Raw genomic sequence first — 23,407 nt, 5'->3', positions numbered from 1 at the left:
TCAATTGAGTCCAGAAGTTCAAGACCAGACTGGGCAATATAGTAAGACCTCATCCCTACAAAAAAAAAATTTAAAAATTAGCTGGGTGTGCTGGTGCACAGGAGGCTGAGATGGAGGGATCATTTGAGGCAGGAGGTCAAGGGTGCAGTGAGATGTGATCACATCACTGCCCTCCAGCTTGGGCAACAGAGCAAGACTCTGACTTGGAAAAAAAAAAAAAAAAAGCACGCCAGCCATTATGCTTGATAAATTTTGTTATTACTATCACTGATTTTCTGCAACTAGCCAAAGAATTCCTTGTCTACCTAACCAGAATGATTTTCACATTGTTCTTCCATTAATTCGATACTTACTTTCTGGGCACCTACTGTGAGTGGGAAGCTTTTCCGTCCTCAAGGAATGTACAACCCAAGTAGGAACAGTGAGACATTATCTTAAAGAGCGACAACATGGTGCAGGGGACAGGGATGTGAGTTGAACCTACAATGTTCCTGTATCAGTTAGGATTAGATCGGGCTACAAGCAAACTGAAAAGCCAACAGGATGGTGTGTTAAACAAGGTGAGAGTTTATTTTCTTCTCCTGTAAACAAACTCAAGAGGTAAACAGTCACAGGCTGGTGTCGTGGCTCAACCCTCGTTAAGGGTCCAGACTGTCCTCAACACGTGGCTTCTGCTCCAGGACACAGTATGGCACTTGAGCTCCAGCCCCGCCATCCTCATCTTCATCCTCATCATCATATTCATTCCAGCCACACTTGTAGAGCTTGTGCCAGGAACCCTTCTACTCACTCTTCAAATATGAATTCACGTAATCCTCACAGAATATCTACTGTTACGTAGATTTTCTTTTTATTCCCATTTTACTGCAAAGGAAACTGGCACAAAAGGGTTAGGTACTTGTCCAAAGTCACACAACTCATAGGTGGCAGGACTAGGATTTGAACTCCGCCAGCCTGGCTCCAGAGTCCATCTAGCCAGAGGAAGCAAAGAAAGGCATTCTCCTCCCTTTAATGTCGCTTTGGCCAGAACCTAATCACGTGCCCCTTCCAACTGCCAGGAAGGCTGGGAAATGCAGTCTTTATTTAGGACAGCAAAAACCCGGGAGTTCTATAACTGAGAAAGATGGGGAAATAAATCCTGGGGACCAATTTGTAGTCTCTGGCATGGACCCCTCTAAATGCACCCTTTCACCCAAAGTGAGACACCCTCAGCAATAATTCTGTATAACATGACCCTTCCCTTTGCCCCTGCCCCTAGAGAGGCTGGTCAGGGCTGAACTGGGATGAAGGAGGAGATTCCATCTTTCCATGTCAGACTGTGGCGTGTACCCTTGAGTACCATAAACAGTGGATTCCAGCCAAGTCTGCAAGGCCACAGTCTACAGAGAGAATAATTAAATGAATGTTCAGAGAGAGAACCCTACCCAAGCAGTATTTCCAGACGCCAGTGCCAGGGTTTCCTGAGGTGCTGTGCATTCCTGCCCTGGGACGCTGCAAGGCCCATTCACACGCTTGTGATAAGAATCCCCTTGTTTGGGCTGGGCGTGGTGGCTCATGCCACTAATCCCAGCATTTTGAGAGGCCAAGGTGGGAGGATCGCTTGAGACCAGCCTAGGCAAGATAGACCCTGTCTCTAAAAGAAAAAAAAAAAATCCCTTCGTTTGATCCAGTGGGTTTTGAACAATTGTCCAATTGCCATCAAAGAATCCTAACTTCACAACCAGGCAGATATGGTACAGATTGCTACTGGTGTCAAGGAAAATTCTTGAGGTATGGAGGAAAGAGAGAGATTGATGTGGCCCAGAGTAGCCTTCAGAAGGATCAGCAGAGGCTTCATAATCTGGGGTATTACAGCTGACATACAGTGCAGACCACAAGCTGGACGCTGTCTCAAGTGCTTTACACGTAGCCTCACTTAATCTTCACAATATCCAATGAAGCAGTTGCTACTACTATTGTCTTCCTTTTACAGATGAGTAAAGCTAGGCAAAGAAGGGTTACAAAACTTTCTCAAAAGGTCAAACTCTAGAGGAAATAGAACTGGGTCTTGTACCTGGTCAATCTGGTTGTAGATTCCATGCTCTTAATCACCATGTGGGTTTGAGCATTTGGTGTCTGGGTCTTGAACGAAGGGTAGGAATGTGATGGGCAGAGACAGGACTGTCCATACCAAGCAGGAGGCATGAGAAAGCCACACCATGGAGTCAGTAAGCACAAGGCTGACTTTGTGGGGCTGGGGATGACATGGAATCTGGAACAGCTGCAACACAGGTTCACAGGAGCAAGAGGGGGCCACCATGCTGGAGAGCAAGTTTGGGAGCTGATTCAAGGAGGGGACTGTGAATCTGTATAACAAGTTTGGGCCTTACTTTGGAGGCAACGGGGAGCCCTCAAGGGTTTTTTGGGGGGGTTTTTCGGTTTTTCTTTTTTTTTTGAGACAGAGTCTCGCTCTTTCGCCTGCAGCACTGCAGGCTGGACTGCAGTGGCATAATCTCGGCTCACTGCAACCTCCGCCTCCCAGGTTCAAGCGATTCTCCTGCCTCAGCCTCCCAAGTAGCTGGGATTACAGACACCCACCACCACACCCGGCCAATTTTTTGTATTTTTAGGAGACACAAGGTTTCACCACATTGGCCAGGCTGGTCTCAAACTCCTGACCTCAGTTGATCCACCCACCTCGGCCTCCCAAAGTGCTGGGATTACAGGCATGAGCCACCACATCCGGCCAAGGGTTTTTAAGTTGGGAAGAAACACACTCTGGGCCTGGCTTTGGGATGATTGCTCAGGACGTTGGGTTACACTTCAGGAAGGGGACAGACAATCAGGAGGCTCTTGCAATAAATGATTCCAGACTTAGGATTTCAAGGAGGATGGAGATGGGGCCTCTAGGGGTAGAGACGCAGGACTTGGGGCTTCCTAGACTAGGGAGAAGGAGGAGCTGAAGGCAATTACAGAGAGGTTCTGGACCTGTTGGTGGCGTGGGAGTGGGGGCAGCAGGAGAAGATGAGTTCTGGTTGGACGGCAAAACTTTGAGGTACCTCTGAGACACCTTGGTGAAGAATCTTAGAAACATGGGAAAGAAGTCAGGCCTTAGAGACAGACGCAGCTCTGAAGTCATACACATAGTGTGACCCCTGAGGCTGTGGCCACAAATGACACCCCCAGGAGAGGGACCCTTGACCAGACGTGGTGGGAGAAACAGAACGAGCAGCCAGAAGACAGGAAACAGCCTGCTTGGTGGTCCAAGGATCACCAGGAGCATGCACGGCTTGGAAGACCAGAGCAGGCTTTCAAGAAGGAAGGCAGGACCCTCAGTGCCAAGCATGGTGGGGGAGGAGGGCGGGAGGTGAGCAAGGGCTGTAACCTCTGTTGGGGGCCAGGCCCTGTTAGAGCTCCCACAACCTTCCTGTTGCCCTGGTCATGGCTACAGGGCTGGGGATCTGCAGAGTCGAATAGTTGAGATTTATGGTGGAAAATGGCCCCAGGGACGGGGGCAATTTGCTGCTCACAAACAGATTCCAACTTGTCCATTAAAGTGCTTCATTCCAGTCCCAACACCAGGCTCGTTCACACCTCAGGTGAGGAGTCAGGCCTGCCCTGATGATTAGCACATGGGCCCCGCTCTGTGGGGAGTGGCCTTCCTTCCTCAAGGAAGCCACTGCAGCCTTCAGAGGCAGGGTCATGCTATCCGCAATGCCTCCAGAGAGAGGCAAGCCCTGGCGACAGTCTGTCTGCCCCAGCCTGCCCTGGACTCCACGGGGCAGGCGCCAACCCCCCTGGAGCGACTCATGCGGAGCTGGGTAATAGAGGGCAAGAAGGCTTTGCTGTCCGGCCCCAGCCCTGCCACTTAAGAACCGGGTGACCTTAAGCAAGCCCCTTGGCCTGAAATTGTTTCCTCTTCTGTAGAGGGGGGCAATAATTCTCACCTGGGGAGGGTGTTGTGACAATTACACGAAACACGTATGTGAAGCGTTAAGCTCTGTGCCTGGGGTGTGGCACTCACTCAATAAACCAGAGTGATGGTTGTTACTGACTGTCCCTAAAGTCTGGCCTCTTCTCCAAAGCATGAGGGGCCCAGGGGACTCTGCTGAGGGGCAGGTCACAGGACAAGACCTCTGAAAGAGCCAGTTGCCTCTCTCCTCTTCTGGCCTCTCTTTACCCTTCCCTCCTCTTTCCTGGAGAGGGATGGGCCCAGAGAGTCCTCGGCTCTCTGTCCCTCCTTCCCCTCCTCCCAGCCGAGCTGCAGCAGGTGACTTCCCCTCATTCCTCAAGGACCCCAGCCCGGAACTTGGAAAACTTTCCCAAGGTCTCCAGGAAATGGGGCAGGGTGAGGACCCAGCCTGAGGGAAGGCTCCTGCTGCACTCAGAACCTCCAGGCTGCCCCAGGCAGGGGCAGGGTGGGACCAGTAGACCAGGGAGGGAGAGGCAGAGGAGGACAGGGATGCGTTGTCACCTCCCTGAGCCACTGGCCTAGGGGCTGATGGGCAACCCACAGGATCCTCCCAGGTGTTTGTTGTGTAATCCCGTTTCTCATCCCCTCTCCCTCACCATGTCATCTTTAGGCGTCTATATAAATGTGGAAGCAATTGACTAATTTTGAAGCAATGCAGAATTCTTCACACTCTTGCTTAATTTTCACCTCCCTGGGCTGCTGACCCCCAACGCCCTCAGCTCAACCCTGGGCTGCCCTCCTCATCTAACAGCACTAACAGCACTGCAGTTATTTTCTTTGCTGCCGCTTCTTTCTTTTAAAATTGGGTCTGGAGCCAGGAAGGAGAAACGGACTGGGGATCTGACTGTGCCCCTTGGGGCTCCCTCCCTCCGCCTTCTTTGCTGGAATCTGCAGGAGAGTGCGCACCGAGCAGCTGGGGAAGGCACATCCCAGTGGAAGACATCACCCTCTCGCCTCCTAGGCCCTCAGCCCTGTCCCCAGTGTGAGGGGGGCACTGGGGGTGGAAGATGTGCCCCAAGGTAGCAGCTGAGGCAGATAGAGGCCAGATGTGTTCCAGTGCCCCCATCTCCTGCAGTCTCCTGCAGTCACACACGCTCTGTGACAAGCGTCATTAGCCTAGGTAGTGACTGCCAAAATCACTCATCAGCCACAACTGAGATCCAGGTGGGGCATGAGAGGAGGGGTGTGATGGGTGGAGCTTGTGACTGGCAGCAGACTCAGTTCCTGCCTAAGAAGGTGTTTTGTGTTTTGTTTTGTTTTGAGATAGGGTCTCACTCTGTTGCCCAGGCTGGAGTGCAGTGGTGTGATCTCACTCACTGCAGCCTCCACCTCCTGGGTTCAAGCAATTGTCGTACCTCAACCCCCCATATAGCTGAGACTACAGGTATGCGCCATCATGCCCAGCTAATTTTGTATTTTTAGTAGACATGGGGTTTCACCATGTTGACCAGGCTAGTCTCGAACTCCTGACCTCAGGTGATACGCCCGCCTCAGCCTCCCAAAGTGTTGGGATAATAGGCGTGAGCCACTATGCCCAGCCTAAGAAGTTTTTATAGTGTGAAACTAGGGAGACAAGATTGGCAGATGAGAGTCATTTAGAAACAGAGTAAGATGTAGGATTTTAAAACCTGAGGCTCTGAACAGACACTGGGGGCTACTTGAGGGTGGAGGGTGGGAGGCGGGAGAGGAGCAGAAAAGATAACTATTGGGTACTGGGCTTAATACCTGGGTGATGAAATAATCTGTACAACAAACCTCTGTGACACGAGTTCACCTACGTAAAAACCTTCACATGTACCCCTAAACCTAAAATAAAATTTTTAAAAAAACAAACCTGAGGTTCTGGAAACAAGTCCTATTGATGTTCACAGGGACACAGGCGGGAGCTCCGGAAGGTCTGAGAGCCGGGCAGGCCTGCTTGGTGTCCGTTGCGGGCAGGGAGCACAGCCCAGACAGGGAGGCAGAGTGGCCGTTCCCCAAGTGGCAGTCATGAGACTGTGTCTCAACACAGTGGCTAAGTGTGACCTGCTGCAGCCCAGGTGGGCAGCTCCTCTCGGCGCTACTTGGGGGATGGTGCTGGGGGAGGCTGCAACTCCGGTTTTGTTTTTCCTATGAGCACCTCTGGCCACCAAGCATGAAGCTGAAGCAACCCCACCCTCGTCTGACCCCATAGCTCTTTATCTGCCTCTCCAGCTCCAGCTTCTTCTCTAATTATTGCTAAGCTTGTCCTTTTCTCTCACCGGGCAGGGGCCCCTCTCTGAGTCCACTATGGCCCTCATGTTGCCCGAGTGACGGAGCCAATGTATAGCAAATTCTCAGAATGGATCTTTGCAACTCCCGGTGTTTGTTCTGTTTGTTTTGATTGGGAGTTCTGGAGAGTGGAGTGGCACAAAGCTGTTGGCTTTTGTTCTCCAGCCTCGACCATAATCCTCAGTAGGGATCCTAGGCCCTGGGGCCTCAAGCCCCATTCCTAGTATGGGAGAAGCTTAAACTTCAACGAGGGTTGTAAGCAAACACCTCACTTATCTTACCCTCATACCTCACATGGAGGTAGAGGCCCAGAACCCTAGAGGGATGGGGGCTGAAAAGGGATGGGGACAGAAGGGGAGGTGGTGCCGGAACCAAGGGCTCCCCTGGGGTGCTGGAATGGGGAGTAGGTGATGTGAATTCACCCATTTCTTGGCTGGAGGGAGGAGGGTAAATCATTGGAGACAAGATCTGCAGTAGGGGAAGGTGGTGTGGCAGACACTGAATTTTATGGTCAATTGCAGAAGAAGCCTCACCTCAAGGGACCCCAGAGGCCCTAGGGGTTTAAAGAGCTTGGGGGCCCCCAACACCCACCTTTCCATCTGCATCATCAACACAAACGGCAACCAAAGGCTTGCTCCTGACACACTTAACCGACCTCTCCAGGGTGGAGGCCAGAGCCACTGGAACCATTCCCAGACCCACCCTGGCCAGCGTGGCCCCACACCACAAGCCTGCCAGGGCATGGGAGGAAACCAAGAACGTGCCACCCAAGATAAAGGTTTCCGTCTGATTTTGTGGTTCAGCTGAAGCCATGTTCTTAATTGTCCAAATAAACAGTTTTCAGCCTGGAGGCCAGGACACGCCAAAACACGCCACTTCCTTTTCCAGCACCAACTGGGTGCTACCAGCACTAACTCGTCTTCTAAGCACTAAGTAGTGCCCAGTGGGCCATGGCAGCCTATAAGAAGGGCTGACTACCAGCTGTGTGACCCTGGGCTTAAGGCCATGAGGCAGGGCTGGGCAGTGACTCTTCGCTAACCTGGGAGTGGGAGACCTTTACTGTAGCTGCACCACTTACCTGCCGGTGACCTTGCTCAAGCTGCGTCTTCCCTGGGCCGTGGTTTCTGCATCTGTAAAATCGGAGAAATGCACTAGGACAGTGGTTCTTAAGGTGTGGCCCCTTCAGCATCAGCATCATTTGAGAACTTGTTAGAAATACTAATTCTAGGCTGGGCATGGTGGTTCATACCTATGATCCCAACAATTTGGAAGGCCCAAGCAGGAGGAGTACTTGAGGCCAGGAGTTTAGGACCAGTCTGGGCAACAGAGCGAGACCTCGTCTGCACAAAGAAAAAAAAAAAAAAAAAAAGAGTTTTAAAAAATTAGCTGGGTGTAGTGGTGCACACACGTGGTCCCATCTACTTGGGAGGCTGAGGTAGGAGGATCACTTGAACCCAAGAGTTCAAGGCTGCAGTGAGCTACGATTGCACCACTGCACTCTAGCCTGGGTGACAGAGTGAAATCCCCATCTCTAAAATAAAATGAAAGGAAATACAAATTCTCGGCTTCTCCTATTCAGTCAGAACCTCTCAGGCAGGGCCCAGAAATAGGTGTTTTTACAAGCCTTGATGCAAGCCAAAGTTAGGAGATCTATACATTTCCGTCCAGCAATTACTCATGAGAACTATTTAGTTCACAGGTAATATCGTACCCTTAAAAGAAGTATCAGCCCTTCTTTGAGAAAGTTTGACAGCTCAGCCCTGTCTTTGATCACAGTCAGCTCTGACGTTAGCCTCAAGAGAGCTCTGGCCTTGGGCCTACCATGCTCTGAAATCTGCCCTCAGCTCAGGACTCCGGTTTCTGGGCATGGCCTGGGATATAACAGCCTAGAGGAGCCAGTCCAGGCAGCCCCCAGTGGCTATCACATGGTGGCAGAACGTGGCTTCCAGACAGATTGCCAGGAGAGCCCCATCAGATTCCTGAGGAGCCAAAGAGCTGAAAGGAGGACCACACTGACTCCAAGGATTATAGGGGCTATTAAAAGAACCAAAGTTTATTTTCTTTTGCCAGCTTTATCTAAAGAAAAAGAAAAATGCTCCAAGGAGAACATCCCCTGTATAGGACACCAGCTGTGAGTATATGATTCTTTGCAAGGAACTTCTAAATGCAAGCAAGGCTGCTGGTTCCATGCAGAGAATTATGAGACATCCTCCCTCGCTTAGGTCCAAATCTTGGATCTAGCCACAGTGACATCCTCAGACATCTGAGTGTCCCAGCACGGTGGCTTGCCCTCAGCAACTGGTCTTCAGTCCCTTGGTTTCTGGGAAACACCAGCTCTGGAATTGGCACAGGCCAGCTCACACACTGCAGACTCTGAGATTGCAGGGCAGGCCCAGCTCAGGGAGGCCGAGACACCCCAAGACCCAGTGGGGACAGAGGGACGATGGGAATCTGGGGCAGGAGCAGACAATCCCGCGACCATCACGGCTTATTGGGCTCCACTCGGCACCTCCAGCACAGGGTAGATTCGGCAGGGCTGCTCTTTGGTGGGGATGGGGAGGGGTCGGTAAAGCCAGCCCCTTGGTCCAAGCAGTGCCACCCTCCTCCCAGGGCCTGGATGCTTGAACCCTAAGGCTCATTTCCACCAAACCTGTTTCCCCCCAATTCCCGGGGCCTGAGTGAGGGAGCATGGGAGTTCTGAGCACTCAGGAAGAGGCGAGACTTGAGGAGTGAGACAGGGGGAGGGCCCAGCAAACACATCTGTCACCAGGAAAGAAGGGCTCAGACCAAAACTCATTTCCACCTAAGAGCCTGTGGGTCTGTTTTGGGAAAGCTGACTAATCCTGTAATCCTGCCCACCAGGCAATTTTTCTGCCTGGCTTCCAAGTGGTAGTGGGAGAGAACCTGGGGCCACTATCCTGCTGAGGAATGTATTCTCTTAAAGGGGAAAAAACACCTTCGTTAGGTGTGGTTTGTTCCACAGAGCCCTGGTTTAGAAGTTGTCAGCTGTTGTCCCTTGAGGGCGGTACCTGTGCCTGGCAGCGGCCAGCCCCCGACGCAGGGGACAGGGAAGAGGCAGTGGCAGAGACAGCCTTGCCTTCTCAGTGGGCAGCAGGACCACCATGCCACCTCTCTCCCACCTCACTGCCCAGATCATAGGCTGGAGAGCAGCTGCTCAGCGCCCCCACCAGGAAGCAGGTTACAAATGCAGAATCTCAGCCTCTGCTGACCTACTGCAAAGGAACCTGGATCTTCACAGGATCCCCAGGAAGCCCTGGCCTGGATGCTGTCTGTCCCTGGGCTGGGCCCTGTGGCTGCTCTGCCAGTTGGGCAACAGGAATGAGCACAGCCCCACTCTCCGGGAGATAGATGCCAGTCTTTTCATTCAGACCACTCAGATGGGAAGTGAGGGGCATCCTCAGCTTGTCCACATGCTCAGCACGGTGGAGAACCCTGTTCCAGGCAGAGACCCTCAAGGCAGCTGTCTGGCACTGGTGCAGACACATACTCACACATGCATACTCAAGAGTATGCACACACTTCCCCTGCCCCGCAGTGACTTCCACCCACCAAGCCAGCAACACACACACAATGACAAATTAAGAGCAGAGTCCCTCCAAGTCACAAAGTCACCAAGTTTCAGGAAAGTGGTGTGCAAGCTAGATTTGTCCCTCTCCTCACATTGCCTCTGTTTGATATGATCACTTCAGAGATGTGTTCACCTGGTGGGGCAGAGCAGGAGGAGGTTGACATGAAAATATTCTTTTTTAAATCACACTCTTAATCCTGCCCAGGCGAGGTGGCTCACACCTGTAATCCTAGCACTTTGGGAGGCCGAGGAGGGCGGCTCACCTGAGGTCAGGAGTTCGAGACCAGCCTGGTCAACATGGTGAAACCCCGTCTCTACTAAAAATACAAAAAATTAGCCAGGCGTGGTGGCGGGCACCTGTAATCCCAGCTACTTGGGAGGCTGAGGCAGGAGAATGGCGTGAACCTGGGAGGTGGAGGTTGTAGTGAGCCAAGATTGCGCCACTGCACTCCAGCCTGGGCGACAGAGCAAGGCTGCGTCTCAAAAAAAAAAAAAAAAAAAAAAAAAAAAAAGGAATCCTTTCCAGGTCATGCAGACAAAAGCAGACAATAGTCTCAACAACACCACTCAGAGAGACTGGCTAAAGGGAAACCCCGCTGGTCCCTCCTGTTCTGTATTTTCAGGTGAGAGTGGGAAAGGAGAGGGGGCTCTTAGGGCAATTTTCTCGGTGCACTGTTCTAGGCCAGCTTTTTCCTGTGAGTCTCTTGAATGATCTTTAACACCTCACAGCCCATCTGCCCCCAGACCTCATGCAGCCCCTGAGCAGGACTGGACATCCAGATGGCAACAAACACATACTGTCTCTTTAAGAGACTGGCCTGAGAGTTTGTTTACCAGGAGGTTTGTTTGGGTCTCAGTGGGAGGAAAGGAAGAAGATAAAAGCAGTTGGGACACTAGAAAGAAAAAAGAAAAAGCCAGAATGCAGAGAAAGCAAAATGAGAAAAGCAAGTCCAGAGGGAGAATTTATTTTTGCAGCGAGGATTCCAGTCCCCTGGGGACTGTTTGCACAGAGCAAGCTAACCACCAAATGCGTAGGTCGGGTCAGACACAATTCCCTGAGTGGGTCCAACAGCAGCTGCCCTGGGCTGTGCTGAAGGTTCCCTGCCGAATTCAGGCAGAGCCACCATTGGGTGGAGGCAGCTGGCACTAGAGGCTTCCTCCTGTCTTCCCCACAAGGAGGGGGTTGGACTGATGTTGGAAGGAAGACAAGGTGAGGGGCAGCCTATGGGAGCCCAGTGACAAATCTGGCTTATAGGAAGTGTGGGACAAAAGCTCTCAGCCTGGGCTCAGGGTAGGGGCTTCAGGGCACCCAGGAATCCTGCAATTGTTTGCCCTTTCATGGGGTGGGCCCTTGTGCACACAGATCAGTAGGATTCCTGGGAGGGAATCCACTGCTCTCACAGCTTCACAAAGGGTGTCTGGGACTAGCAGGAAGAGTCCGGTTGAGGCTGGGCCTGAATCAAGCCCCCTGAGTGTAAGGTGGGCCACTGGGACCCTGTGTTTTAGGTGTGCTGGTGAATGTTTCTCCGAAAGCTGGGAGCCATTGTGGGTGACCAGGCAGAGAAGTGACACAAGGAGAGCTGTCACTCCAGAGGCCATGACTCGAGAGGCAAGGCCAGGAAAGAGAGAGGTTTCGGGGTGGCTTTGCTACACACAGTCCAGAGCCCAAAGAGGGTGCTGTTGACACTGGGTGAGCTTGCAGTACAGAGAGCCCCAAAGGCTTTTCTCTAATCTCTGTTGAGGCTGTTCTTGGTACCAAGCAAGCCCGTCCAAACAGGCCAGACACAGCGCACACATGTGCTCACACGCATCCGTATACACGTGTGTACACACACCGCATTCCTTTTCCCTCCCCAGCCCACTCTGGAGAGCAGGGTCCACTGCAGAGCTGGACCTGTCCATACTGGCTTTTTGAGGCTGTATCTCTGCCGGGAGGACAGTGGAGGGCAGCAGGTCATGCTGAGGACACTGTCTAGCTTGACCTGGGGCAGGCAGAGGCAAACCAGGCCCTTCTCAGGCGACAGCTGGGCCCCAGTGTTTTTGGAGCTGGTTCCCGGGATATTCTTTTATGTCATATTCTGAGGATTTGAGGAACAGCCTGTAAAGGGGATTAGCCTATCCATGCTGCTCCAAGCTCCAGCAGCACAGGCTCCAGAGCATCCCCTATAGGTGGGATGTAGGAGGAGAGCAGCCTGGGACAGCGATCAGGGACTCCCAGATTGCTGGACTGGGTATTAACATCTCTGTCGGCCTTCACACCTCCCACTCCTCTGGAGTAAGGTACCTCTGTCCCTACCTACTTAGGGAAAAATTGCAATCTGTGAGATCAAGCCCCATGCACCAGGAAACTGGCTGATTATACTTGCCTCAAAAACTCAAAGTGAATTACAGCAGCCTGTATGCAAGTTTGCTTTCTCCTGGGGGAGCCAAGGACAGTTTTTAGACTTTGCACTTCTTAGGGACTGGGCCACACACCCCAAGAGCGCCCCCTTTGGCACTGAGCAAGTACTTATATGTCAAGCACACAGGCTTGTGCGAAACAGCAATGTAATATATGGTTGTTACGGACTGCATCCAAGACTCTGACCGGTTCTTCCTTTTTGAGGTCTCCATCCCAGCCAGGTCTGAGGGAAGAGTGGAGCTATCAGAGGCAGACAGGGACCTTTGGGTGGTTTCCCACCCAAAGGAGGAGAGGAAGAAGGTACAACAGTAAAACATTGATTGGTCAAATCAAAATCCCAACGGTCCCAGAAACCTCTCAACAGGGCCTAGCAGGGATTGAACCAAAGTGTCCATTTGCTTAAAACTGCCCGAGGTTCCCAGCTTTCAGGGTGCCCCCGTCAAGCCTCCGCTTACTAAATAAACCAGCCTTTGTGTGTGTGTGTCCAGGACAAGCAGAATGGGCTGGGGGAGGGGAGGAGGATCCGTTTGTCAAAATAGACCTCCTGAATGCTTTTAAGGGCCTGCAGTTGGATGAGTAAATATTTTCCCTTTCAGATGAAAGGTGCAATCATCGCCGTTTTTTAATTACTTTAATTAGAAAAGATTGCCTTAATCTTTTACTTATCTGTACTATTGTGGGAACTGCCAGAAAATGAAGTGCAGGGAAAACAGGTGGAGTTTGACCTTTGCTCTAAGCATCTTGAATTTCTTCTAGGCTGGTAATTAAGAAGAATCAGGGGAAGTTCCTTGCAGAATCTAGGAAACGCAAACACACACAGAATCATAGCTACAAGGGCACTCTCCCTTGTACTCCCACTCTCTCACACATGCACACACACACACACACACACACACTCTCATGCACATGTGTGCACATGAGTGGAAGGAAAACTAGACCCGGATATGGCAAACCAAAAAGTTCCAACTTTGAGGGCTGTGTTCCTGCTCCCAGCCCTGAGAGGTGGCTTAATGAGTTTCCCAGGATGGCCTAAAATGATTAATTAAGCAGACAGCTCCCCACCCCCTCCCCAAACAACGGAAACCAAGTAACGGTCTGTTTAGGGAGGGAACAGCAGGCCCCCCCTCAACACACACACACTCCAGGGGCGGTTGGGGACATGGTGTAAGAGCCAGGAGCCCCAGATAAGGGACGATAGCAACGGCCTGTAACGGCCATCAAGGCTCACCCTGGCTGGCAGGGCTGGGCCTAGGGAATGGCCTCCCTCTGCTCCTGGCCTCTGGCCTCCCTGTGTCTGGGCAGTGCCCACAGTCAAGGGGACCCTTGGCAAAACGGTGACGCAGGCATCATTGTCTCTGGCCTCCCTACCTCTCCAGGCACCCTACTTGTTCCCATTTCTACTATGCACCATTTCTGGGCTCATTGTTGAACACTGGGAGGGATTCTGGAGGCTGCTTGAGTGTCCAGGCCCACAGACATGGGCCACAAACATCAGGGAAAGAGGAAAAGCGAGTAGACAGGGACCCTCTGGGGCTTCCAAAATCACCCGTGTTGGGGCACCTGCTCTGTCTTTCCAGCTGTCAGGGCTCCCAGAGCCCAGCAGTGAACAGTCACTATTAAACAAACAGGTTCTGAGCTCAGGCTTTCAGTGCTGACGCTGCAATGGTGAGCAGTGCTAGAAAACCGGGGCACAGGTCCCCGCCTGGGGATCCAGATTGGCTCTGAGGGAGTCCTGGAGTCCGGGCAATTCTTGTGCACAAGCAGGGCTGGTGCTTTGGGAGCTTCCTCCCAGGGCGTCTGTTTTTCAGGGACACCTCTGTTTTCTGCATCTGTAACCTGGACCAGCTGCTCCCTGAACAGCCATAGACGTTTCCCTCAGAAGGTGCCCCGAGGATTCCACTGGGTGCTGAATACGGGTCCTCTTCCACAGACAAGGGCACGCCTTCCTTCCAAGTCAGTCATGTCCGCTGGAGACAGACAAGGACAGGGACACAGCTGGGGTTTTGGCGGCTGTCCTGGGCCTTGTAAACAGGCCTGGTGAAGGGCACAGGGGCTCCGAAGCAGGCCCAGGCCCAGCCAGCCTGGAGGGGTGGGAGGAGGTGAAGGTGGGAGCGGGCGGGAGGGGCAGCCAACAGTGTTTGCCTTTCTAAAGCGCTCCAGGTGCTTGAGCTGGATTTCCAGCCTGGTGTTTACAGCCTCTGCAGCCACGCCACGGTCACGTCCTCCGCCTGTACACGTGCCTCTCTCAACAGGTGCCCGTCTGTGTGCGTGTGTTCCACCTGTGTGTCTGATCACACCTGTGGGTGTGGATCTCTCCGTGTCTGTGCCTGGCCCTCTGAGAAAAATGACTCCGGCCTCCACTTTGTGTGAGCCTTTCCACCTCAAAACATTTGCTAAAATAAACCTGCTGAAAAAGCTTTAACGACGATTTTTTTTTCGTCCCTGCCATGGGCACTAACACCAGCAGGTCTCCATGGTCAATTTAGGAAGCTTGGGAAAACATTGCTTGTAATTAAAAGTCTAGAAGGGCCTCAATTAAGGCAGTGTTTGCCCTGCCGGGCCCGTTCCCAAATCCTACTCGGCAGCATTCCTCTCTTGGCTGGAAAAGGCCTTTGATTTGAACCAAATGTTCAGCAGCCACACTGGACCGGGCCTTGGCACTGCTGCACTGCTAGCTGCTCAGGGCACAGGCTGGCCTCTGCCCCAAAGCCTGCAACGGGAGACTTTGGGCTTTGTCTCCACCTCCTGACTTCCCAGCCCCTCTGTGATCCTGAGCCCCGACTTCTGGAGGGGCAGACCTCCCTGAGAGATGCAGGTGCTGAGGCCAGCCCAGCACCCCTCACCGCTCAGGGTGGTAGAGCTCACACTAAGAATTAAAGGCCACAGGTCAGGCCTCACCAAGGATGAAGCAGCAACAGTCAGTGCTGCAAGAAGGTGGGATTCAGGGTACAGCAAGCGACACCCCAGTACCCCTTCTTACTCCACAGAGGCCACCTCCATCTGAGCAGAGGCCTGGCCTTAGCTATAGCCACTTCAGAGAGCTCCAGACAGGACCTGGCAGGGAGGGGTCGGGAAATAGCATGAGCCTGTGACCTTTTTAATCCCTAGGGATTAAAGATACGCAGCTCAGCTAACTGGGACCGGGCCCAGGGCGCCACATTTGCTCCCCTCCTGCTGGTGAGGGTGAGGCAGCCAACAACACAAACACGGGGGCAGAGGGCATTGCCTCCTCCCTGGAGCAAAGGCTCAGGCGCTCAACTGGGTGGGCAGGAAAGAGAAGTGCTGAGTCAGCTCAGGTGCACATGGCTTTTCCTTCCCGGGACAGGCACACGCACACTCACACCACCTGCTTGCACACAAACTGGATTCACAACCATGCTTGCTGGCTTTCACAGATGTGTACCCATGTTCACAGGGTCCACACACACTCTCTCTCTCTCTCTCTCTCTCTCTCTCTCTCTCTCTGAGTCCTCAGTATCCCAGGTCACAGCCACCCACACAAACTCACATTCCTCCACCAGCTTGCACTGACACCCATTCACAGTCACAGCCCTGGCTACAACCAGACACGGAGACTCCATAACAAGGATTTGCAGGCCCCATGCAGGACTCTGCAGTCTCCAGCAGCCCTGGCCCCTCTCAGTGAGGAAAGAGTCGCCACGAAGGCAGATGGTCCGGAGGGTGCTGCCAGGACCAGGTCCTGAACCCTGTGGGAGTGGGGTGGAGAGTGCGGGGATATCTCAGGAGGGCAGCCGAGGTGTCCATCCCTGCGGGCCTCACCCCTGCAGCAGGGGAATGGCAGGCGAAGGGTTACAGGCTAACTAGAAAAAACAATTACTAACGGGAAAGGCAGCACATTCCAGCCCTGCTTAGCAGAGCCGCCAGGGCCGTGGGTGGTTCTTGGATTATGCATTTCCTTGAAAACAAAAAGGAGAGTTCAGGGCAGTTCAGCTGTGCCCTGAATCTCACTCCGGGGCCTTTGTCCCCAGCCCCCTCACAGCCCGCGTGCCTACACACACGCACACACAGCCCCCCTGGCCCCGCCACTTGTCCACTGGGAAACGGAGAGCATGAATACCCCCCAAAGCCTGCAAGAAAAGCGGGGGCAGACGACAGAAGAATTGAAGAAAGACGGGGAGAGGGGAAGGGAGTTGGGATCTCGGAACCCTTGTTGCCTGGAAGTCTCCCTTCTGCTGGTGAGGCTGTGGGAACGTTGGCTCATCCTGTCATCAATGCTGCATGGAACCCCCCACTCTGTGCCAGGCATTGTGCCAGGCATTGTACCAGGCCTGGGGTTCCCCTTGAAGGGCTCACTGCTGGGAAAACCCGGTGCCCCCATTTCCCCTGGGTGGTGTTTTCTATCCATCTGTCTCAGATCCCAACACTCTGTCTTTCCTCAAAAATCTGGTCTGATAGAGTCTGATTATCATATTCATACAGAGGAGTGGGAGGCTGATAAGCCTCAAAGGGAGACCCTCCCAGGCTGCTTTACCTTTTTTTTTTTTTTTTTTTCTTTTTTACTCATGACACAGCCTCAGGAAGCTTTGACAACATGTGCTCCTGATTTACTTTTTAACCAGGACATATATGGTGGTGCCTCCCTGTGGAGAACAGGAAGGGGCAGCCATCTTGCCATAAACACAGGAACAGAATCTCATGGCCTCTGAGTCTGAACAGCTATGTCCTATTTGTTAGCATGGGCTCCTCTGAACCCTGCCAAGGCCCTGTGGGGAGGCAAGGGAAGCATTATGGTCCCCACCACAAATGGGGAAACTGAGGTTCAGAAAGAGATAAAAATCACTCAACCCATTGTACAGGCTGCCTCCTGCTTAGAGCTCTCTCCCTCTCCTCAGATCCCTGAATGGCTGACTCATTCCCATCTTTCAGGTCTCAGCTTAAATACTGATCCTCCAAGAAGCTCTGTGGCAACAAATGTAGTCGGCCCATTCTAGCCTCCCTGTTGTTTCTCCTCCAGCGCATGAGGATTCTGGGGGGAGGGGGATGAGGTCTCGCTCTGTCACCCAGGCTGGAGTGCAGTGACATGATCATGGCTCACCACATCCTTCGCCTCATGGGCTCAGGTGATCCTCCCACCTCAGCCTCATGAGTAGCTGGAAGTACATGTATGTGCCACCATACCCAGCTAATTTGTTGTTGTTGTTATTTGTAGAGATGGGGTCTTTCTTTGTTGCCCAGGCTGGTCTTGAACTCCTGGGCTCAAGCAATCCTCCCACCTCGGCCTCCTAAACTGCTGGGATTACAGGCGGGAGCACACAGTAGGCACTCAATAAATATTTGTGGACTTGATTAAGAACTGAATGGCTCTGTAGCTGGGGTAGGCGGAGCCAGGCCTGGAATCCTTGAAGCCTTGGCCCCCACTCAGATGTGTGGCTGCCCTTGTCCATCAAAATCCCTCCAAGACAGAGGAAAGGGGATGCTCAGAGCCTTTCTTCATTCCAGCCCTGGGCTGTACCCCAAACAGCCTAAACTTAAAAAATAATCAGATTCCACAGTTGGGCTGCATGTGGATTATGCAAGGACCAGATGCCCAGTAGACAGGGTGTGCCAGAGGCTTATACCCAATGGGACCTTAAAAGAGGGTCAGCTGATGCATGCCATTTAGACGTATTCACTCACTCCATTCTGTGGACATTTTCCAGGTGCTGAGCTTGGTTCTTAGATGCAGTGCCTGCCTCAGAGTCTGTCTAGACTTTTTAGGAGAGAGTCAAAGAAGCAATGCTGGCGATGCGTGCTCAGACCCAGCACAGGATGAGATGATCTGGGAACTGGAATGTCAGGAATGACTTCACTAAGAGATCAGAGGTGGTCTGAGAGCGGGTGACCAGAACAAGCCTGCCAGGCACAGAGAACAGCATGTGCAAAGGAGTAAGGGAGAGCCTAGTAGGTCTGGGACATGCCAGCAGTTCACTAGGCCTGGATAGAAAGTTTGAGCATGGGGAGAGGCCAGAGAAGGGGCTGGAGAAGGGATGGGCCCAGGTCACAGGGAGCAAAGTCCACTGGCCCAAGAAGCCAGGGCTTCATAGGGTCAGCAGTAGGGAGCCTGCCAGGGCTTTAAAGAGAGGAAAGACATGAGCAGCTTAGCATTTTAGAAAGTTCATTCGACTGAAAATGTGCAGAAAGCACAAACTAAAGCACAGACACAAAACAAGTTCAGAGGATGTGGCTGTCACCCAGGTGAGCAGTGATAGCTTGGACTTGGGGCCGGGGGGATGGAGATGAGGGGACAGTTGTAAGAAATATTTAGGAGGGAGTGAGAGAGGCTTGTGATGAACCAGCATGGGGGGGACAAGGGCCGGGCTGTTGTTAAGGATGAATACCAGGATTGTGGACAGCTTGGCTGAGTGAAGGGTGGCAGCAGGAATCCAGGGAGAGGCTGGTGTATTGGCCTTGGCCATGTACCTGGCTGGCTGTTAGGGATGTGGGTCTGGAGAGGGAGGTGCTGGCCTGGTGCTCTGGAGTAGTTTGAACCCAGATTTCAATGCTGCCTGGGGAGAGGAAGAGGCTGGGAGATGGAGTGGAGTGAGCAGAGTGGACAGTGCCCTTCCCTTTCTACTAAGCCAAACCTTAGCATGCTTCAAGATCCACTCACCCCTTCCCAACCCACACCTATGTGGGAGAGCATTCAACAAAGACTGTCGGGAAGAGGGGAACTTGCGTCAAGGAGGGCAGTAGATTAGGATGGTGGATGGCCTTGGATGTGGGGAGCAAGGGTGCAGAGGCAGGATTGCAGGCGGGAGACACATTTAAGAACTTAAGGGTCCTCCCTAGTTTGGGCCCAGTGTCAGCTCCATGGCCCACTGGGAGTCCTGGGAGCAATGACTGGATGCTTGGAATGACTCTTCCTTCTGGGGATGAACTCCAGTCTACTCCAGCACAGTGACCAGATGCTACAGGGGCATTCCCAACCCCCACAGAAGCTGTTATCCCAGGCACTGCCCAGTCCAACCCAGGGAGCCAGCATCTCCAGTCTCTTGTTTCTTTCCACAGCGGGGCCTCCAGGGGCTGAGTGCTGAGGCAGCAGGAGTAGGACAAGTCCAGAACAAGGAACCCCAAGCTGGGCGTCTTTTCCCACTCCCTTTCCTTTCCTTGGTGTTGAAGGTCGAATTTCACCTCCCTTCTCATTTCTCTCTTTGCATTTTGTAGGACACACACCACCTCATCCAGCCACAGTGGCCACAGTCCTCAGGTATCTGTCATCAGCTCTCAGCCCTTCTTTCTGAGGCACGCAAGAGTGGGCAGAAGCCCTTGGGACCCCCCTTTGCCTCCAAACCCCAGTGCATTCCCAGCTTTTTCTTGGTCTCCACACTCCAGTCCAAGCCTCTGTCCTGTCCCCAGAATTCCCTGAAGAAGGTCCAGGGAGAGGGCTGTGAGTTCTCTATAAGACCAGCAGATGCAGCTGGTTGATTGCCCTTGACTCTGCTGGTGGCGGGGACATTGCTGGTGACCAGCTGCTGGTGTTCCACTCTATCCCACGGGCTTGGCCCAGCCAGCCTCAGATACCAGCAGATGGCCCCATCCCCTCTGGGATGCCCTGCCCCATTCATCTGGCCCCCATTTCTGTTTCTGATATTCTGTCCCCCTTATCTCCCTTCTCAGACTGGACAGCCCCTGTGTACCTGGGATGCGGAGAGTGACCCAAGCCTCAATCCTGGCCAGTGAGACTGCCCATCGAGGTGGAAATCATCGTCTTAATTACCAAGGCTCCCTGGCCACCGGAGGAGACACGCAACACACAGCCTGCCTAATGCGCCAGCAGCCGAGTTGGGGAGGTCCCTGGGAAAAAGGCCTATGCTCCCCCAGCCATTCTCAGGGCCTAGAATGTTCTTTAGCACGAGAGAAGTGAAGGCTCAGGGGTCCAGTGGGGAGGGCCGGGTACCAGCCCAGAAGTAGGTCTAGCCAGGGAGGTGGAGTCCCCAAGAAACACCCTCAGGAGCCTGCTGAGTCACAATCATCCCTCACAGCACGAATGTCTCGCCTGCTCCCTGCACGCAGCTCACCTGGGACTCTCCTTCTGCCGGCAGGGTGAGGGGCCTTTGAAAGGCCTAAACCAGAAAGGCTGGAGGGGCTGAAGGCAGGAGCCAGCTGGCCCCAATCCTGTTCTCTCTGGAGCCCCTCAGTCCTTAGCCCAGCCCCCAGGTGTGTCTTGTCTCCTTCTTAGAGGCTCCAACGGCCAGAGCTCCCCACTCCCAACCTACCATCTTGTCCCAGAGATGGAAGACAACATGGGAGCGGCCCCTCACAGCCAGAGTACCTTCAAGACCATGTGGCACCACCAGACTGAAACCCAGGTCCGGTGGGCTCTGCCATCCCCATGCCAAGCAGAGGGAAGGAGGGGGTGGGAGGACAGAAGAAGGAGTGGGCGGGGTGAGTCTGTGGTGGTTTGGATTGAGATGAGCTGGACTTACGTGTGTGACAGCTTTTCCTCTGGTCCCAACCTTATACCTTTGGTTTTCCTGCTCTGGGCCACTGTAAAATGAGGATTGGGCATGAGATATGTGGTTTTCAAATGCTCCTCCCAGAGCCCTGGCACTCTATGGCGGAGAATCAGAGCCATTGCAGCTCTGGTCTTAGCGTTATACACCGACCATCACCCCTAAGGTTTCATTTGCAGAACCAGCCCACAGCCGAAGAACCTTTGGTCACCTCTGGGCAAGGTGACACCTGTGTCCTTCCTGGCCTGAACCTTCCAGAAATGGACAGCGCCATGTCTGCTGCTGGGGGAGAGGGGACAGACCCAGAAGGAGGAGCCAAAGGAACTTACTTTTTTTTTTTTTTTAAGACGGAGTTTTGCTCTTGTTGCTGAGGCTGGAGTGCAATGCCGTGATCTCGGCTCACTGCAAACTCCGCCTCCCAGGTTCAAGCGATTCTCCTGCCGCAAACTCCGCCTCCCAGGTTCAAGCGATTCTCCTGCCTCAGCCTCCTGAGTAGCTGGAATTACAGGCATGTGCCACCACACCTGGCTAATTTTGTATTTTTAGTAGAGACGGGGTTTCTCCATGTTGGTCAGGCTGGTCTCGAACTCCTGACCTCAGGTGATCCACCCACCTTGGCCTCCCAAAGTGCTGGGATTACAGGCGTGAGCCACTGTGCCTGGCAGGAACTTACTTTTTAAAACTTAGATTGAGTCCAAATACATATGTCCGAGACATGAAAGGATGAAACTGGCTATGGGACACGGGCTCAGAATGAGGAGACCCAGAGGAAAATGTGCACCCATGTTCACTGCTACATGCCTATGTGCACACATGTACACCGGCGCACACATGCACATGCACACACACACAGCTGCCCCTCACAGCCCTGTCTACATGGAAGGCACCAAGAGGCATTTCCATGCTTCTCCCTCTGAGCCCCAACCCACTCCCACTTACCACCTCTCTGGACTCCTCAAGTTGACCTAGCAGAGCTCTGTCAGGAGATGAGGAAAATGTCTCTGTTTTTCAAATATTTGGATCTTGCTAAAGACCAACACATTTTTTTAAGTGTGTATAATTTTAGGGCAATTTGATCCATATGTTTCTGATTCTCTTGCACTTAAATCATCAAAATATTGATTTTTAAGAGCCATTTGATGTCGAAGGAACCTTTTTAATAAGCTTTTAAAGCTCTTTAAACCCAGAGCCTGGAGCCAGGGCCAGAGCTCAGGCTGTCCGCTGGCCAGTCGCACCCTCCCCTCCCCTGGGTCAGGATTACTTGGAGCTGAGTCTCACTTCCCCTCTTCCTGGCCTCCCTGCCTCCCCAAGAACTACCCAGGGGTGCTGACAGAGGGGCCCAACCCCTTCTGTTCACAGACTTCTCTCATGCTTCTTCAAAGCATGCCTAAGACACAAACCAAGAGGAGCAGTCATGATCTTTACTTCTTAAAGGCTGCATAAAATTTAGTTGCATAAATGTGACATAATGTATTTAACCAACGCCTGTTGACGGATGTTTAGGTCATTTCCCGTGGTACACCTTTATGCACATTTCTGATTGTTTCGTTTGGATCCATTTCCAAAAGTAAAAATACTGCGTCAAAAAGTAGGCACAATTTATGTCTCTGCACTCATAAGTTGCCACGTTATTTTCTAAAAGAGTCCACCAATTCATACTTTCACAGTCTCCTCCCCACCTCCCCACTCCCACCCCACACTCTTGAGTGGAATTCTCGTTATTCCTATCCAAATGGTGCCATTCCATCTGCACATGTGGAAGCTCTCTAGCACAGCAGTTAAGAGGAGGCTCTGGAACAGAGAGCTTGGGTTTGAATTCCAGTTCTGCTGTTTCCTAATTGGGAAAGTTGCTTTTTCTGTCCTTGCCTCTGTTTTCTCATCTATAATTTGGGGGATAATAATGGCACCTACCACGTAAGTTTATTGTGAGGATTTAATGTGATCATCGATACAAACTTAAACTACTTGGAAAAGCGCCTGATGCACGGTTTGTGTTCAGTAAATGATAGCTAGTATTGTTATCCTTTATGCTTTTTTTTCCAACCTAGGATACTCTCTCTCTTTCCTTCCCTTCTGTCTGACCAACTGCCGCTCACACGTCAGGTGTCTGTTCGGATGCCCCGCCCTTGTTAGCGTTCCCACAACACCCACCCCTTTGATACACTGGCAACGCGTGCCATTACTCATCTTTACACTTAGTGTCTATCTTTCCTGCCACGCTGTCAGCTCCAAGAGGGCAGATTTGGGGTTTATCGAATTCCCAGAGCCTACTACCGTGCCTCACATGCTGCAGACACCCCATAATTATGTGTTGAATTGAGCAGAACTGAATCGAATGAACTGTGTCAGCTAGGGGTCACTTTTGACCCATAATTTCCAAAAATTCTATTCACCCACAAAGGACAGAGATTTGCATCTTGAGGATAATCAAAAGAATGTGTTGAGGTTCAAAAGGTGAGTCCCCAAGATGAGTCCACAAATGTTTAAGGAGATGGCAGCATCACTGGTGGCACCTCTGTGGCCAGTGTGGGTGGATGACCCTGTTCTGCAGGGAAAGTCCTGCTGACACCAACCATGAGCAAGGCCAGTCCCGTGAGCGAAAGCCTACCTCATTATTCATCTTCGATTTGTTCTTTCACTTTCAGATACTTTTTCCTTGTCTTTCCAACAGAGAAAGGACTGTGCCTCTTCCTTTTGTGGCCCTGTGCTAGACACCGTGCTGGGTATTTGCCAAATGAGGCATGAACGGTGCTCCTCCTTCT

General features: G+C 52.4%; 1 long non-coding RNA gene across 1 annotated transcript in view, besides 3 other annotated features; it reads left to right on the top strand.

The window, feature by feature from the left end:
• Positions 8,231 to 9,018: an enhancer, noted in NCBI's record as "H3K4me1 hESC enhancer chr2:43159155-43159942 (GRCh37/hg19 assembly coordinates)". NCBI's record gives its function as "activates a minimal SCP1, AML or CMV promoter by ChIP-STARR-seq in primed H9 embryonic stem cells {active_cell/tissue: H9 hESC(primed)}" and the evidence as "EXISTENCE:reporter gene assay evidence [ECO:0000049][PMID:30033119]".
• Positions 13,283 to 13,968: an enhancer, noted in NCBI's record as "H3K27ac-H3K4me1 hESC enhancer chr2:43154205-43154890 (GRCh37/hg19 assembly coordinates)". NCBI's record gives its function as "activates a minimal SCP1, AML or CMV promoter by ChIP-STARR-seq in primed H9 embryonic stem cells {active_cell/tissue: H9 hESC(primed)}" and the evidence as "EXISTENCE:reporter gene assay evidence [ECO:0000049][PMID:30033119]".
• Positions 13,969 to 14,654: an enhancer, noted in NCBI's record as "H3K27ac-H3K4me1 hESC enhancer chr2:43153519-43154204 (GRCh37/hg19 assembly coordinates)". NCBI's record gives its function as "activates a minimal SCP1, AML or CMV promoter by ChIP-STARR-seq in primed H9 embryonic stem cells {active_cell/tissue: H9 hESC(primed)}" and the evidence as "EXISTENCE:reporter gene assay evidence [ECO:0000049][PMID:30033119]".
• LOC105374568 (uncharacterized) overlaps positions 17,863 to 23,407 on the top strand; it is a 6,331-nt gene continuing 786 nt past the window's right edge. The window contains exons 1-3 of the long non-coding RNA XR_940014.3: positions 17,863 to 18,387; positions 19,357 to 19,399; positions 19,810 to 23,407. The exon at positions 19,810 to 23,407 is cut by the window's right edge and continues 786 nt beyond it. This is a non-coding gene — a long non-coding RNA (uncharacterized LOC105374568). The remainder of the gene's footprint in view (positions 18,388 to 19,356; positions 19,400 to 19,809) is intronic.

The sequence above is a fragment of the Homo sapiens genome, chromosome 2 (assembly GCF_000001405.40).
Source record: "Homo sapiens chromosome 2, GRCh38.p14 Primary Assembly".
Classification (NCBI taxonomy): domain Eukaryota; kingdom Metazoa; phylum Chordata; class Mammalia; order Primates; family Hominidae; genus Homo; species Homo sapiens.
The sequence above is the reverse complement of the archived record's forward strand: the minus strand, read 5'-3'. Positions and strand labels throughout refer to the sequence as shown.